Below are 17,029 nucleotides of genomic sequence, written 5' to 3' on the forward strand. Positions count from 1 at the left end.
AAAGTGCTGGGATTACAGGCATGAGGCACCACAACCAGCCTGTTTAAGGATTTCTAAGCATAAGCTTATAATGAAAAACCCACAATAATTAATCCAACTTGGAATCTACTGCGAGCACAGCAGGTCAGCAACAAGTTTATTTTGCAGCTAGCAAGGTAACAGGGTAGGGCATGGTTACATGTTCAGGTCAACTTCCTTTGTCGTGGTTGATTGGTTTGTCTTTATGGGGGGGGGGTAGGGGAAAGCGAAGCAGAAGTAACATGGAGTGGGTGCAGCCTCCCTGTAGAACCTGGTTACGAGAGCTTGGGGCAGTTCACCTGGTCTGTGACCGTCATTTTCTTGACATCAATGTTATTAGAAGTCAGGATATTTTTTAGAGAGTCCACTGTTTCTGGAGGGAGATTAGGGTTTCTTGCCAAGATCCAAGCAAAATCCACGTGAAAAAGTTGGATGATGCAGGTACAGGAATACACGAGGGCATAGTTCTCATAGTCGGTGGCCAGGATCCAGTACGGTGCCGATGGCATAACTGAGAACCAGAGAGAGGCAGCATTATTGGAGGGAGAGGGCAAGAGAAATCTCAGGACAACACAAGAAGGCTGGCCCAGACAACCACCCACCAAGCCCCCCACCTCTGATTTTGTTTATCAATCCAGAAACAGAAAGACCCTGGAAAGAAGTTTGGACGAAAGCCTAGACTGAGTGTTTCTGACTTACCCTTTCTAGCACTGTTGGTGCCCTGCCTGCCTGCCTGCCTCACTCACCCAGAGAGAGAGACAGAGAGAGAGAGAGAGACAGCGTTATAGTCATCACCCATCTGCACATTTCAGCTGCTCTGTGTATTCCCAGGTGGACTGAGAACTCTTAAGCCCAGAGTGATTTTGCAAAAATCTGTCTCCCACCTCTGCCAGCAGCGGCATCATGGCCCACCTGCACTCACCCAGGCTGGCACATTCTGCCTTCCTCTCGTGGTCCAGTTCCGAAGAATAAATTTACCCAGATACAATACAGAAAACTTCACATGTCTCTCCTTATTTGAAAACTTTGACAGTCTCCTATTGTTTATGGAAGAAACTTCAAGCCTTTTAATGTGGCATTCAAGGCCCTTCCTAACCTCATGCCCCTCTTCATGTACACTCCCAGGCTCTAGGCCTCTTTATTCAGGCCTTCTTCTTCTTCGTTTTTTTTTTTTTTTTTTTTTTTTTTTTTTGAGATGGAGTTTCACTCTTGTCGCCCAGGCTGGAGTGCAATGGCGCGATCTCAGCTCACTGCAACCTCCACCTCCTGGGTTCAAGCGATTCTCCTGCCTCAGCATCCTGAGTAGCTGGGATTACAGGCACACGCCACCATGCCCAGCTAATTTTTTGTATCTTTAGTAGAGACAGGGTTTCACCATGTCGGCCAGGCTGGTCTTGAACTCCTGACTTCGTGATATGCCTGTATTCAGGCCTTCTTCTATGTTCCAGTTCCCTTCACTTGGAAATCCTTTTCCATAATCTCCCATAATCCTACAAGGCCTAACGCAAACATCTAATCCTTGTTATGCATGTAATAGTTAGCTTTCACTCCAATCCCCGTCCCTGATCCCTATGGGAAAAATACTCAGTTGAGAGTTTGGAGACCTAGGTTTAGGTCCCAACTCTACTTCTAATGAGTTCAGTGATGGCCTGCGTCACTCAGCCCACCTGCACTTTAGCTCCCTTCTTGATAAAAATAACAAGAGAAACTGTGTATAAAGCCCTTTACAGTTTACAGAGCGTGTGTATCTGGTTTATTTTCACGACACTGGGCAGTTATTTCTGGCTTGTACATGTGAAGTTAGTTGTCCATATTCATAGTGTGAGAAGAACTGTTTTCTCCTCCCAGCATTCCTTTCTTGGTCTATAAAATTAGAACTTCCTCTCCTCCCCGCTCTAGGCACTTGACTGGTGTGGGGTGGAGGAGTGGCAGAGATGAGAAGTAGGAAGTGCAGGGAGTAACTTTTGTAGCTGATGACTTCAGTGTCTACCCTGCAGGTGGGAAAGGGGCTTTCAAGCACTCTTCGTGTTAGAAAGCCTCACAGTTCTGGGTTGAACTCTCTAGTGTATCTTCGTCGGAAATAAAACTAATATTTGGTGCTTTCTCTATTGCCTGTGTCCCTTCCTCAGTTAGCTCAGAACCCAGAGGCAAATGCCTGTCATTAGGTATCTCACAGGATCCCCAACAATGTGACTGGAAAGTGGCAGAAGCAGGATTCAAACTTGCCGTCACTCTTGTCATCTCTTGCTTCCTAGTTTCTGCGCCGTGCAGGTTGTTCTGCTAATATCTGCTAATGTTTCGGGCCCCAGTTTCCTTTGGGAAACAAGACTGGGTTGTGTCTTCTGCAGCCCACACCCGGTGTGCACCTACTTGTGTTTCACCTGTTGAAACGCTAGCTAGTTATAGTAAATTGCGGGGTCACGTGTCAGTATCCACACTGGGATGTGAGCTCCATAAGTACCAAGGCCAGCTCTGTCCGGCTCATCATGGCAACCCTAGTGCGTGACATGTAGTAAGTGTTTGACAGATAATTATGTGCTGAGTGATTATAGATGACACTCAGGTGTCTCAGGAATTCTCCAAGCCGGGGCGCTAGCCTTCAGTTTGCATATTTCCTGTCCCTGAATCCTCCTGGGAAAAGTGGATACTTACACCAGGAAAACTTAACTTCCAGCTTGGCAGGCTCTGTGAGGTTAACTGGGGTGGCTTCACCTTCGATTTGATTCACAGTTCCATCAGCTCTGCAGTGAGTTAAAAAAAGAAAAAATACAAAAAACGAAAAGAGAAAAGAAAAACAACTCATTGAAAGCCAATAAGCAACGAAAGGCAAGATTTGTGCCACTAAGGACCGTGGCAGCCAACACCGTGATTTCTGGTAAGAGAGGCTCTCAAAGGCAGGCTAGACCCTAGCTCCATGGCCTGGCCTTTCCCTTGTGACTGTCTCTGAGGCCAAGCAGGGGAAGAGAGCAGCGGGGTGATAAGAAGCCGCAATTGACAAGCTCCAGGATGGGACAGTATGTTAGGCCCTTGCACTTCAACACTATCTCTGACTATCTTCTATGGCCTGAAAGACCAATTCCTGCTCCCAGTCTCCAAAGAAAGGGAGAAAAGAGAATGGAAAAACAAACAAAACAACCCAACACACAAAGAAGATTCACTTTTTTTTTTTTTTGGAGATGGAGTCTTGCTCTGTCCCCCAGGCTGGAGTGCAGTGGTGCGATCTCGGCTTACTGCAACCTCTGCCTCCCCGGTTCAAGCAATTCTCCTCCCTCAGCCTCCCCAGGAGCTGAGATTACAGGCATGCACCACCACGCCTGGCTAATTTTTTGTATCTTTAGTAGAGACGGGGTTTCACCATGTTAGCCAGGCTGGTCTCAAACTCCTGACCTCAGGCAATCTACCTGCCTCAGCCTCCCAAAGTGCTGGGATTACAGGCGTGAGCCGCCGTGCCTGGCAGATTCACTTCTTTTTAAAACGAGAAGGGCCAAAGGTACAGATGAGGATGGACTTGATCACTGAAAATAATTCAAAACAAGGAGACATAAAAGCGTTCCCCTTCTTTGGGCCTCAGTGATATCATGTGACATCGCCTGTCCCATCAAGGGGCCTGAGTCCAGAGACTCCCTCTAGTTCAGCAAGCCTCTGAGTGAGTGTGGGGGATTTCAATGTAGGCCAAGTAAAAGGAGGCAGTGAAGAAACATTTACTTTATCTCAGTGATTCTCAGGTATGCCCAGATTTCAGAGACATTAAATGTGAAGAAATGCATATCTCACAATTGATGTCACCTGACAATTAGCAGTGTCATTCCTTTCTTAGTGGCATATAACGCAGTGGTGTGTCTTAAAAGCTGGGGGCTTAGATTGGATGCAATACTTTCACCTCTTTGAATGAGCCTGCTTTCTAGATGACTCCCAATGGCCCCATGAACTTGGGAGAAGGGGAAAGGTGTGGAGATGGAGGCACCAAAGGGAGGGTGCTAAGGCATCAGGGTGCTCTTCCTAGGAAGCCAACAGAGGAGAGGATGTCTGTTTATCAATCCTCAAGGCAGAGCAGGGAGGCCAACTGAAATTAGAGCAGTCGTATGTGTTAGAAAGTCAGTAGGTTGGCCGGGCGTGGTGGCTCACGCCTGTAATCCCAGCACTTTGGGAGGCCAAGGGGGGGCGGATCACAAGGTCAGGAGATCAAGACCAGCCTGGCCAACACAGTGAAACCCCGTCTCTACTAAAATACAATTAAAAAAAAAAAAGAAAGTCAGTAGGTTAATGCTATGGTTAGTGGTGACGGATGTCCTAGAAACAGGACAATGAGCAACAGGCCAGGGATTCTGGGAACTGTGCTCTGATGTTCCCAAGTACTTTCTCTGTTTATCACCATGTAAAGCTGGAGACCGTGCCCTCCTCTCTCATCTGGATCTCAGACAGCTGGGGAAGATGGTCTGTTTCTATCTGCATACGTTAACTTAGCAACAAACCAGTCTCCTCCCAGCAGATTCTGCCCTTTTCACCGTCAATTGCATTTTGCTCTAGAACGGTTTTCAGGACACCAGTCTCTGACCATGAAGTCACAACATGTTCATGGAAAAACTGCATTTGTATTTTCAAGAGTGGAAGGTGGGTAGGAAGGAGCTCTTCCTGGGGCTCTTTTTAAGTTTATAGTTGCTTTCCAAAGCGTAGCTTTTTGGATTAATTATTGTGTTAGAAGCCCTCAGTAATAGAAATGTACACTTCTAAAGGATATCCTGTTTACATAACCTAGAGTGTGAATGTTGTGTATGTGATTCTTGCTTAATAAGAAAAGGAGCTTTCTGATAGATTAAGCTGCCCAGAGATGGGATGAACTGTCCTGGAAGGCGATGAGCTCCCAGTTCCTGGAAGTGTTTGAACAAAGCTGGATGCTTCTGTCAGCAGATGGTGTCGAAGCGGCTTCTCTCCCAGACTGGAGGTCAGAAGAGATGGTCTTGATGTTCTTTGCTACCAGAGTATCTATTTTGCAGTGAGTGCAGGAACCCTGTCAGTTTGTGCCCCGCAGGTGGTCATGGAAATGCATAAGTGGATCCTAGTCCTTGCCATCCTTGCCTGCCAAACGCTTTCCTCTCAATTCCTGCTAGGAGCAGGCAGTCCCGATCCAGCAAGGTTCCCATCCTCCCTGACCCAGGCTGCCGGACACCCAGTCACTCTGCATCAGCACTCCGCAGGCCTGGCCCCGGACGCCCACAGCCACTCACCTCAACTCCTGGTTTAACACTTTGATCTTTCCGTTTTCCATTAGTGAGTAGTTGGCCTGGATGCAGCGTCCATTCTCAAAGGTTGTTGGGATCTTCTCAATTTCGTACCATCTTCCGAGATACTGCAGAGACAACAAGCAGAGCAAAACCCTGTGGTTCTCTGGGGACCTGCAACTTCTTCCCCATTGTCGTGCAGACGCAGAGCCCTGTCCTGGGGAAGCCAGACAAAATGGGCCTCATTGTTCCCAGTGGCAACTGGGCAAGAGATTGATTGCAATGAGAATCTGTGACTAGGATGGGATGTGCGGGCAGGGGGTGAATGCTGAGTAAAGGGCTCTTCTCAGGGCCCACTTCAGCCAAAATCGCTGTGACATTCTAGACTCTGTAAAAAAAGGGGATGATGGGAAATACCTTTCATCTGAAACAGTGCACAATTCTACAAGTCATCTTTGAATCCTGTGCAAAGTCAGATGTGTTCGCTGTGGGGAGCTAGGACTCCAGAGCGCACGGAACTTTCCTCATCTGACCCTGAGGAGGGATTTAGTCATCAAGGCTTTGGAGAGGTGGTGGGGATTTGAAAGGTCTGTATCATGCTTTCTCTAGGGGCCTGCGCTCAGTCCAGACTTCAGGTGTATACAGTTAGCTTTAAAGGAAGCTGCCACTGTGTGGGGAAGGTCGAGGGAACCAGGCCCTCCTAGGCTGCCTGGCACGCGTTGCAGGGAGACCATACCAGTTTACAACCTCTGCGGAGGGCAGTTTGGCAATATCTAGCAAAGCTAAAAATACATATTATACTCTTTGGCCCAGCAATTTCACTTCTGGGAATGCATCCTCCTGATATAAGAAATGATGTATGTGTAAAGTTATTCATTACAGTACCGTTTGTAATAATACAAGATAGGAAACAGCCTATGTGAGCATTAGTAGGGGGCTGGGTGAGTAAACGATGGCATATCCAGACAATGGAATTTTACTTCCTCTTTCAAAAGAGTGGTATGCAGTGATTTCTAATATTTAATGACAAAAGAGTCAGGTACAAAATAGTGTATCTATTAAGGCACCTTTTGTGTAAAAATGGAGAAAATGTTTATTACGTTGGTTTTCTGTTGCTGCTATAATAAATTAGCACAAGCTTCAAACAGCACAGATTTATTATCTTGCAGTTGTGTAAGTCAGAAGTCTGACAGGTCTCACTGGGCTGAACTCAAAGTGTTGGCTGTGTTTCCCTCTGGGAGCTCTAGGGGAGGATCAGTTTCCTTGCCTTTTCCAAGTTCTACAGGCCGCCTACATTCCTTGGCTTGAGGCTTCCTCTATTTTCAAAGCCAGCAAAAGGAAGTCAGATCCTTCTCACATTGCATCTCTCTGACTCTTATGCCATCATCAAACCTCTCTCTCTTATCACAGCTGGGAAAGATTCTCTGCTTTTAAGGATTTATGTGATTAGATTGAGTTCCCCTGGATAATCAAGGCTAATCTGGCCATCTCAAGGCTCATAACTTCGATCACATTTGCAAAAGCCCTTTTCCCATGCAAAGTAACATTCACAAGGTTAGGGCGTGGACACCTTTGGAAGCCACTCTTCTGCTTACCACAGTTATTAAGTATTTGCTTGTATATGTATATATTATCTGTAAAATTACATAATACATGGTTTTTACTAGTTGCTACTGGGGAGGGAAACTGAGGTACAGAGGTGGGAGGGAAACTTTATGTGGTGTATTCTTTTACACCTTTAGGATTTTGAACAATGTAAATATATTTATCTAGTTAAAATACTAATTAGAATTTTGTTTTTTTGAGATGGAGTCTCACTATGTCACCAGAGTGGAGTGCAGTAGTGCAATCTGGGCTCACTGCAACCTCTGCCTCCCGGGTGCAAGTGATTCTCCTGCTTCAGCCTCCCGAGTAGCTGGGATTACAGGCACGTGCCACCATGCCCGGCTAATTTTTGTATTTTTACTGGAGAAGGGGTTTCACCATGTTGGCCAGGATGGTCTCAATCTCCTGACCTAGTGATCCCCCTGCCTCGGCCTCCCAAAGTGCTGGGATTACAGGCGTGAGCCACCGCGCCTGGCCTATTCTAGAAATTTAAAAACAAAAAGAGATGCGCTCACCTTCAGAGTCAGAACTTGAAAAGAGAGGATGCTGCACACAGGTGAGTATTGCTTCAGCCACGGCTTTCCGCTCAAATGTATGCCACATTCATGACCATAAAGTTCTACTCACTTATTAAAGCACAGCTTTCAATTAAAGCCACTGAACTTAACATTCATTTAAAGTACCAAAGAATAAGGTTAGAGGTTAACTGGTTTCATAGACATTCTCGGAAGAAGCTCCATTTTCTATGGTGCATTCAAATCTGTTCTATTTCTGTTAAAGTGAGTTTAGTGCCCCATAGTAAAAACCAAGGAAGCATGATTTTTCAGAAAAGAGGAAACTCAGAGCTTCCTTATGATCTCATATTATTTTTGCAAAGGCTTCTTAATCTTTTCAGATCTCTGGTCAGTATTGAAAAATAATCCTAGAAAAGAAGAGGTAAAACTCTATCTGTTTGCAGATGACATATAAAATATCCTAAGAAATCTAAAACAGAGACAAAACCAAAAACTATTGGATCTAATGAGTTAAGCAAGGTTACAAGATACAAGATTAATATTCAAAAATCAAATATATTTCTCAGCCAGACGCAGTGGCTCATGCCTGTAATCCCAGGACTTTGGGAGGCCGAGGCGGGTGGATCACTTGAGGTCAGGAGTTCAAGACCAGCATAGCCAACATGGCGAGGCCCCATCTCTATAAAAAATTTAAAAATTAGCCGGGCATGGTGGCACGCAACTGTAATACCAGCTACTCGGGAGGCTGAGGCAGGATAATCTCTTGAACCTGGGAGGCAGAGGTTGCAGTGAGCTGAGATGGTGCCACTACACTCCAGCCTGGGTGACAGAGCAAGACTCTGTCACACACACACAAAAATATATACATATATAAACATATTTCTCTACTTGCAATGAACAATTTGCAGATGAAATTAAGAAAATTCCATTTAAAAGGCCGGGCACGGTGGCTTGCTCACACCTGTAATCCTAGCACTATGGGAGGCCGAGGCGGATGGATTGCCTGAGCTCAGGAGTTCGAGACCAGCCTGGGCAACATGGTGAAACCCCGTCTTTACTAAAATACAAAAAAACTTTGCTGGGTGTGGTGGCGTGTACCTGTAGTCCCAGCTACTTGGGAGGCTGAGGCAGGAGAATTGCTTGAACCCGGGAGGCGGAGGTTGCAGTGAGCCAAGATGGTGATGCTGCACTCCACCCTGGGTGACAAAGTGAGACTCCGTCTCAAAAAAAAAAAGAAAAGAAAAGAAAAAGAAGAAAATTCCATTTACAATAACATCAAAAGAATAAAATATTTGGGAATAAATTTAACCAAAGAAACATAAAACTTATACTCTGAAAACTACAAAGTATTGTTGAAAGAAATTAAAGATGACCTAATTCAATGGAAAGATACACTATGTTGACAAGTTAGAAGACTTAATATTGTTAAGATGGCAGTACTCCCCAAATTGATCTTCAGATTTAATGCAATCTGTATCAAATTCCAATTGGATTATTTGCAGAAATTGACACGCTGATCCTAAAATTCATATAAAAATGTAAGGGACACGGAATAACCAGAAGAACAAAGTTGGAGGACACATGTGTTCTTATTTCAAAGCTTACCTCAAGGCTTTGATTACTACAAAGCTATAGTAATCAACACTGTGTGGTACTGGCATAAGTATAGACATATAGATCAATAGAACTGAGAGTGCAAAAATAAACTCTCACATATACAGTCAATTGATTTCCTATAACGATTTCCTACAAGAATATTATTTGGCAATAAAAGGGGATATAGTATTGATACATGCTACAACGTGGATGAACCTTGAAAACGTTCAGTAAACCAGTCACAAAAGACCACATATAGTATGATTTCATTTTTATCAAATATGCAGAATAGGCAAATTCGGAGACAGAAAGTAGATTAGTGGTTGCCTGGGGCTGGAAGGGTTGGAGGGGAGATGGAGACTCCGTGAATGGGTATGAGGTTCCTTTTCGGAACAGTGAAATGTTCTAAATCGATGGTGGTGGTGATGGTTGCGTAACTCTGTGATGATACTAACAACAATGGAAAGTGAAAAGCTACTTTAAACAAGTGAATTACGTGCTATACAAATTATATCTCAATAAAGCTGCTATTTTTTAAATCCTGCTTTAATTCTCAAAGGACTTCTATAAATACAGATCAGTTATCATTTCCAAAGTGCTTTGGGATTTGTATCCAAAAGCGAAAGTATAACTCAGATTCCTTGGATGTTTTCTTTAAAGCCTCTCTGTGGTCTATCAGAGTTACCTGAATAAAGGGATCAGCCTGTAAGTGGAGCAAGTCAGTGTAGACGTTAGTGTACTCTATGGCCTCTTCCTACCACACCTGTATCTCCTGATCCCATGGATGGTGCTCCTTCTCCCACCCAGCGTCCCCTCAGAGGTCCCAACACTCATTCACCTTGAGGTGCGAGTGTATGATAACAACTTCGATGTTACTGTTGCCATTCTTAAAAGAGATCCAAACCTTCTCCTAAGGAGAGGAAGTCTTAAGGGTGAGATTCCAGGCTTGAGTAGCAACAGTGGGAGCCTGTGAGTCCTGTCCTCCAATAGCTGCCTCTTTCTGCCGCCCTCTTCCTTCCCCTCCCGCTAAACCCCAGGAAGAAAGACCATCTATGGAGGAGCTCGTTGTATTGATGACATTTTGGTGCAGATACCAAGAAAGCCCCCTGGAGAATTTTGGGCTTTCCTGAGCCCTGTTTGAGTGACCTTTGGGTGCCCTGCACTGCTGAGAAGCCTGGTTTTGAATCCTACTTGCATTTACCAGCTGCGTGAGCTGGGGAGGGAGATTCCGATGCTGCATCTGTAGAACAAGGATAATAGCTCTGTAGCAGCTACTATGGTTCCCTGGTCCTGTTCCCCTCAGCCCACCTCTGAGTTCACCGCAGCCACGGTAGGCAATTCCCAGACACTGCCAGCCTCCCACCTGAGACCCTGTGTCTCTCCTCTGCCAGGGGGCTCAGCTAGAGCCACGGATGCTCCCATGACCTGCTGGCAGCAGCTGTGGGACAATCGGAGGGGCATGCTCCACGTGTCCTCAGAGGGTGCCCAGTGTGACTGACCCTGACGGCCCAGGGCGACAGCTCAGGAACGCACCCTTTATTGCTTCTGTGCTGTCTCCGACTCACCTTCCCACCTGCTCTCGTGCGTCCCGGGATCATCCCAAACCTCTCTGCCTGCAGTCTTTATCTCAGCAGATGTCTGCTTTGGGGAAACCCCAAATAAGATAAATACTTGTCCCAAGGTGTGCAGTGGAAATTAAAGCAGCATAATTACATTGAACCTTGTAGAACGCTTATTCACAGCGGAGGCAGCAAAACAAACGGGAGGTTCGCCTTTTACCTTATTCACGTCAAAATTCTCCTGCACCGGAGGATTGGGGCACTTCCCAAGATGAAATGCTTGTCCCTCTGCCGCACCGAAGAGGCCAGCCAGTGCGGAAAGCAGCAGCAGCAGCATCACCATCTTGGGGCTGGGTGGCTGGAGAAGGGACCTGGAGCTGCGGGAACGCAAAGCAGCTGGGGTTGTCATTCTGAGCCTTCTAAGGCCACACAATCATGAAGTAAGAGTGCTGTGCCCATGGTCCCCTCTGTGGGCGGTCCCTCCTCTTCTCTCCCCAGCCCATGTGAACCCTCATCCTGCAGGGGAACACCTGCCTGTCCTTGTTGCTGTGAGGCCTTCCTCAGAGCCTCTGCACCTCCACGAGGGCGCTCTCTGCCTGGTATTCTGGTTTGTTGGATTGATTTTCACCCCTGTCCCACCTAATTATGCATCTCCCAGGATGGGCACTGTGTCTAGTTCTCCTCAGAATCACCCACGGACCTCAAAGTGTCGGCTCAGTAGATACTTGTCAAATGAACAGAAACAGCGTGGAGAGGGCTATGTAAAGTGGGGGATTAAAGCCTCCAAGTGAACCACGAAAGACACGAAACCAAACCAAATGTTGCCCAACACTTAGTGTCCTCTGAGATTCTTCAGGGAGATGCCTCTCTGACACCATCCCTCCCCCTGCCCTCGTCTTGCTGGCTGTTCTACCAGCCCAAGAGTGCGCTTGGAAACCTTAACAGGGAGCGGCCTGCTGGGGGCTCCAGGGTCACCCCAGCCAGGTTCAAATTGTGACTCTGCCCCATACTAAGTATAACTGTGTCCAATTTATGCCTTAGCTTCTTTGTCTAGTAAATGGGAATAATTATCATTCCTAGCTCATGAATTTTTGTGAGAATTAAATGAGATAATATACAGAGAGTACTTAGAGGAGTGTCTGATACAGAGTAAATGCTCAATAAATGCTAGTTATTGTTATTATCAAAAGCAGAAAGATGATGGTATTTCCCAGGTTTCTTCTTTCTTTTCTTTTCTTCTTTCTTTCTTCTTTTTTTTTTTTTGACATTCTGTTGAGGGTTTTTGTTTTGTTTTGTTTTGTTTTGAGATGGAGTCTCACTCTGTCACCCAGGCTGGAGTGCAGTGGCACAATCTCGGCTCACTGCAACCTCTGTCTCCCGGGTTCAAGTGATTCTCCTGCCTCAGACTCCTGAGTAGCTGGGATTACAGGTGTCCACCACAACTCCCGGCTAATTTTGGTATTTTTAGTAGAGACAGGGTTTCACCATGTTGGCCATGCTGGTCTCAAACTCCTGACCTCAGGGGATCCACCCGCCTTGGCCTCCCAAAGTGCTGGGATTACAGGCCTGAGCCACCGCACCCGGCCTGTTGAGGGTATTTTTCATAGATGAAGTTCATTAAATCAGAGAAGGACTGTCAGCTGATGTGTAACTGTGCAACAAGCATTTCAACCCCAAGAGTCCTTTGGCAGCAGAAGCTGGCTTTGAAGCGGGGCAGCAAGGCAGGGAGACAGAGGCTGCAGGACTGTGTGCAGGTTCTGGGCATTGGAAGCTCCCCTGTTTCCTTCACTGACTCGCTGTCAATTTGCTCCTTTCCTTGTGACTCCTTGCCTGTAGCTTGCACACGAGCTATTTCCAGCTCTCTGCATTTCTCCCTGTAATGATGATGACTGATGCAATGCAAGCAAAATGTTCTCAGATCTGAGCATTTCGAAGGATGTGTCATTACAGGAATAATTATAACTGCTTTATTGTGAGTCTCTAAACCTCTAAATACCCTTTAATAATCAATAGCTTTTTTTCCCCTGGAGGTTTTGTTGCCTGGTTTTCCAAAGAACAGTTATGTAAGGAGTGGCAGCTTGCCAGCTGGGGTTGCTGCAGGGGGAGATGGTTGCTGAGGCCCCTTTGAGCAAGTCTGCCACAGGGCCACTTTCCCTGGTCTCTGAGGTTCCGTTTCTCATCGGCTCCACCACTGTATAAACAAAACCTGTCTTTTAACCTTTTGGGGGATGATGAATTTATAGAAATGCAGCCTAAACCCACACAAATTTGCATCCATTTTAAAGAGATCTTGAATTCTACTTAGTAGGCCCAAGCTGAAAGCCTGGCCCAGAGGATCAAACCTCAAAGACTGGCCACACACTATGCACATTCCACAAGGTCCCCACACTGGATAGGACCTTAGAGGTCATCTTTCTAGCTCTACTTCCAAGGTGTACAGATGGGGAAGCTGGGGCCTGGAAGGGGCAGAGAGCTGGGACTCGAGCTCCATCTCCCCCTCTCCTGTCTGCAGCACCCCGAATCTGCTTCTTCTGTGCACCGCCATAGGGCCTTTCAATAACCCCCCACCTCTGTGACCTGATGAGTCTCACCACCACATGACACTGCAACAAAAGTCAGTTCTACATCTTACTCTGACAAAATGCTCTCTTGTGAGCTGAAACAGATTCTTTACCTCAGTAGGAGGATTTCAGAACAACCCCTTTGACTGACCCTCTTCCAAAGATGCCTCTTGGTTACATTAGTTTTATTCCTGTGGTTAAAACTCCTTGTGATGCCAGGTGCGGTGGCTCAAGCCTGTAATCCCATGGGAGGCCGAGGCAGGTGGAGCACCTGAGGTTGGGAGTTCAAGACCAGCCTGACCAACATGGAGAAACCCTATCTCTACTAAAAATAAAAAAATTAGCTGGGCATGGTGGTGCATGCCTGTAATCCCATGCTGCCTGTAATTACATGCATGCCTGTAATCGGGAGGCTGAGGCAGGAGAATTGCTTGAACCCGGGAGGTGGAGGTTGTGGTGAGCTGAGATTGCATCATTGCACTCCAGCCTGGGCAACAAGAGCAAAACTCCGTCTCAAAACAAGCAAACAAACAACAACAACAAAAAAACTCCTTGTGAGAGAAAGGGCGGACAGCATCCATTATAGTTTTCAATGTCCTTTCATTCTAATTTACTCATTACTTATTGAGCATGTTATTAATGTGTACTTAAGACTTTGGGTAACATATGGATTATATACGACATATATTTTTGCATCTTCTTCTGATATCAATAGGAAGATTGTTCTTATGAGGAGTTTAAATACTTTACAAAATAAGTATAATTTAAATATTATTTTTGGCCGGGCATGATGGCTAATGCCTGTAATCCCAACACTTTGGGAGGCCGAGGTGGGCAGATCACTTGAGGTTAGGAGTTTGAGACCAGCCTGGCCAACATGGCGAAACCCCGTCTCTACTAAAAATACAAAAAATTAGCCAGGTGTGGTGGCAAGTACCTGTAATCACAGCTACTCGGGAGGCTGATGCAGGATAATTGCTTGAACATGGGAGGCAGAGGTTGCAGTAAGCCAAGATCACACCATTGCACTCTAGCTTGGGCAACAGAGCAAAAACTCCATCTCAAAAAAACAAAACAAAAACAAACAAACAAAAAATACAAAAATTAGCTGGGCATGGTGGTGCAGTCCTGTAATCCCAGCTACTTGGGAGGCTGAGGCACAAGAATGGCTTGAACCTGGGAGGCGGAGGCTGTAGTGAGCCGAGATCGCGCCACTGCACTCCAGCCTGGGTGACAGAGTGAGACTCCGTCTCAAAAAAAAAAAAAAAGAAATATGATTTTTAACAGAATATGAGGTAATTAAAAAGCAATCCAACTAAGGTGACAGTGCATCCACCTTGGGCCTGGCACTAGCTGGAAATCACTGCTCCACTTGCATTAAGCTTACCCGTGGAGAAGCCCTGGTCCCAGGATTTTAAGGGTGCTATGCGCTCAGTCTCCACAGCACCTCCTCTGGAGGCGACCTCTGCTGACACTCTCTTCATACCAACGAGGTGAATTTGCCCGGGTTACTTCCTGGTAAACTACGAAGCCACAGTGTAAGCCTAGGCCTGGGGACAGGCTAGAATGTAAGCCTAGGTCTCCCACAAGCCCGCGCTCTTAGTGCCTGGGGACACAGCCCCTGACCTCAAAGATCTGCAGAACGTGAAGGACTAGATTTTGAAATTTCACCTCATAAAATAAAATAGGTTCCAATAAGTCATTAGGTCTCAAAGACTCATTTAGCCATTAAATATAACAAGACACGTATCTCCCAAACACAATATTTTATGCCATATTGTCAAATGCATTTTCTAGTCACACCATTAATTCCAGTTTCCAGATTATTTTACTGCGATGCACCGTTGGACAGCTTGCTGAGAATTCACCTAGGACGGTGTTTGTGCATGGAAACACCTCGTTGTCCAGTTTGGAGGGGTAAGCAAAAGACGCTGGGATGAGTTCACACTGGGTTTGGTTTTATCTTAGGCATGTTGCTAGTGTATCTGAACCTCAGCTTTATCACTGGAAAAATGGCTCTGATGATACCTACCTTGTACATTTGTTTGAGGAAAAATGAGAACAAGTCTAAAGCTACCGGCACAAGCTCTCAATCAGTGGTAGTTATATGTAGCTGAAATGGGGCAATGGAGAGTCTAGACTGTTTCTATTTTAGACATTATTATCATAAATGAAAAGCTTAAAACTACAGTACATACCTTTTCTTTCAAGATGAAGGCAGTTTCCAGATGCAGAATCAGCCGATTTGAGATGCCTGTCTTGGTGACTGGCCTCTCCCAAGCTATTTTATAAGCTTCTTCAGGTCTCTGATGTTTACTTTTCATGCATGCCACGCCCGCCGCCCCCATCCAGTCAGGAGGGTTGGCCTAAAAGCTTAGTCTGTATCGAAACACAAAGATGGGATGTTGTGTCCATCCTCCTCCCCCGATTTCCTTCACAGCTGCTCCCTGAAGAAGAAATGAGATATTGTTTTCGCGCGCGCGTGTGTGTGTGTGTGTGTGTGTGTGGGTATGTGTGCGAGAGAGAGAGAGAGTATGTGTGAGAGAAAGATAAAGTATATTTTCATCCAAAACATTTTTTTTTTTGCTATGTGGATTTTCTAATTTAATTTTTTTGGTCAGAATGCACTTTTAAGTTCCAGCAGGACGTGTTGCAACATGTTTTCAAACATCTGGTATTTATTTTTCATTTTTGTGTAAATGAAAAATCAACAAGCTCATTTCCTGAAGTGGAACATGGAGTTCCTGACTCCACTAATGGGAGTCAGGTAATGGCGCGAGGGTTATGAGTCAAAGCTGGCTTTCTCCAGGATCCTGGGCAGCCCCCTAACTTCTCTGAGCCACAGTCTCCTCGTTGTAAGTAGGGGCTGTCATTCTTTCTCCACCAGAGCCAGACGTGTAGGGGAGATACCAGTTCTCTAACAACTGGGGCTAAAAGTTGAGAATGCAGAAGACATCTTCTGTCGCTCTGTTCTCTGTCCCTTTTATGACCCTTGCAGCGAGAAGTTCAAGACAGTCTGTCACTGCTTGGGGGTGGGGGCCGGGGTGGTGGGGAGTGTGGACTTAAACCCAGGGGTGCTTTTGGTCCAGCCTTATCTCTCCTGGTGGAATGAACAACTTTGACTCTTGTGAGTGAGATTCTATGTCTTTGTGATAGGCAGGAGGTATGTTTAGAGACATTTAGATAAGGCAGTGCCTTCGTAGTAGACTTAGACTCCTAAATGAAATTCATTCTAAAATATGTAAGCAACAGAGATACATTTACAGCACTGAGTCTATAAACATGAAAACAACAACACAGATCCGTAACATCCCAAACGTTGTGAGCGCTTTCTTTAAGATGTTCTTTGCCTTTTCAGAAACATAAGAAATTCCTACTACCACCCAGGGCCTGCCTCTCGCTGACCTCCTGTGCTGCCCTCCCCTAAGAGCTCTGTGTAGCTCCCTTCCCCACTCCAGGTCCCTGATCAGATGACACTTTTCCCTAAAAAGCTTCCTGACCTTTCAAAAATAGCACTCTTGTCACTGTCCCTTTCCCTGCTTCATTATATCTTTACCTGAAATTCTCTCCTTTATTTATACATTATCCTGCTTAGTATGTTTTCCCCAGGAGGATAGGAGCTTGAGGCGTGCCAGGAGTTTGTCTCTTTGACTCTGTGTTGTGCCCCAGTGGCTAAGCACATACTAAGTGCTCAGTAAATACTTATAAATTAAATGGATGCTATCCAAAGAACTTAATGAGTTTCTAAGATATACAAAAGGCCCCAGAGGTAATATTCACGCGATTTTGATTTCAATTGTATTTCTGGAGAAGCACTAGCCTGTATGTTTCTGTCTTCTTCACCTGTATCACATTTGCCACCAAGAATTGCCTGTCATTGAAGAAATACACAGTTAGCCTCTTTTCAGCCTATTACAAAAAATTCTCTCTCCTCTAAGCAGTTGCACAGTTTTCCA

The 17,029-nt window shown here is 45.7% G+C and overlaps 1 protein-coding gene across 1 annotated transcript, besides 1 other annotated feature; it reads right to left on the reverse strand.

The window, feature by feature from the left end:
• Nucleotides 1-98: 98 nt before the first annotated feature.
• APOD (apolipoprotein D) lies at nucleotides 99-15,334 on the reverse strand. The gene is made up of 5 exons (NM_001647.4): nucleotides 15,272-15,334; nucleotides 10,733-10,889; nucleotides 5,244-5,365; nucleotides 2,671-2,759; nucleotides 99-529 (listed from the first exon to the last, which is right to left on the reverse strand). Exons 2-5 carry the CDS (start codon nucleotides 10,853-10,855, stop codon nucleotides 294-296), a joined length of 570 nt encoding a protein of 189 aa, NP_001638.1. The 5' UTR covers nucleotides 10,856-10,889; nucleotides 15,272-15,334; the 3' UTR covers nucleotides 99-293.
• Nucleotides 14,785-14,954: an enhancer, noted in NCBI's record as "experimental_67527 CRE fragment used in MPRA reporter constructs". NCBI's record gives its function as "activates a minimal promoter by MPRAs in K562 erythroleukemia cells, with activity observed for the introgressed 3:195310347 variant allele {active_cell/tissue: K562}" and the evidence as "EXISTENCE:reporter gene assay evidence [ECO:0000049][PMID:34662402]".
• Nucleotides 15,335-17,029: the final 1,695 nt, after the last annotated feature.

This window comes from Homo sapiens, chromosome 3 (assembly GCF_000001405.40).
Source record: "Homo sapiens chromosome 3, GRCh38.p14 Primary Assembly".
Taxonomy (NCBI): domain Eukaryota; kingdom Metazoa; phylum Chordata; class Mammalia; order Primates; family Hominidae; genus Homo; species Homo sapiens.

Coding starts and splice junctions, on each gene's coding strand:
- APOD (NM_001647.4), bottom strand. CDS start 10,855: ATGGTGATGCTGCTGCTGCTGCTTTCCGCACTGGCTGGCCTCTTCGGT. Junction 5,366..10,732: donor AGAATTTTGACGTGAATAAG/GTAAAAGGCGAA, acceptor TTGTCTCTGCAG/TATCTCGGAAGATGGTACGA. Junction 2,760..5,243: donor GTGTTAAACCAGGAGTTGAG/GTGAGTGGCTGT, acceptor AACTCACTGCAG/AGCTGATGGAACTGTGAATC.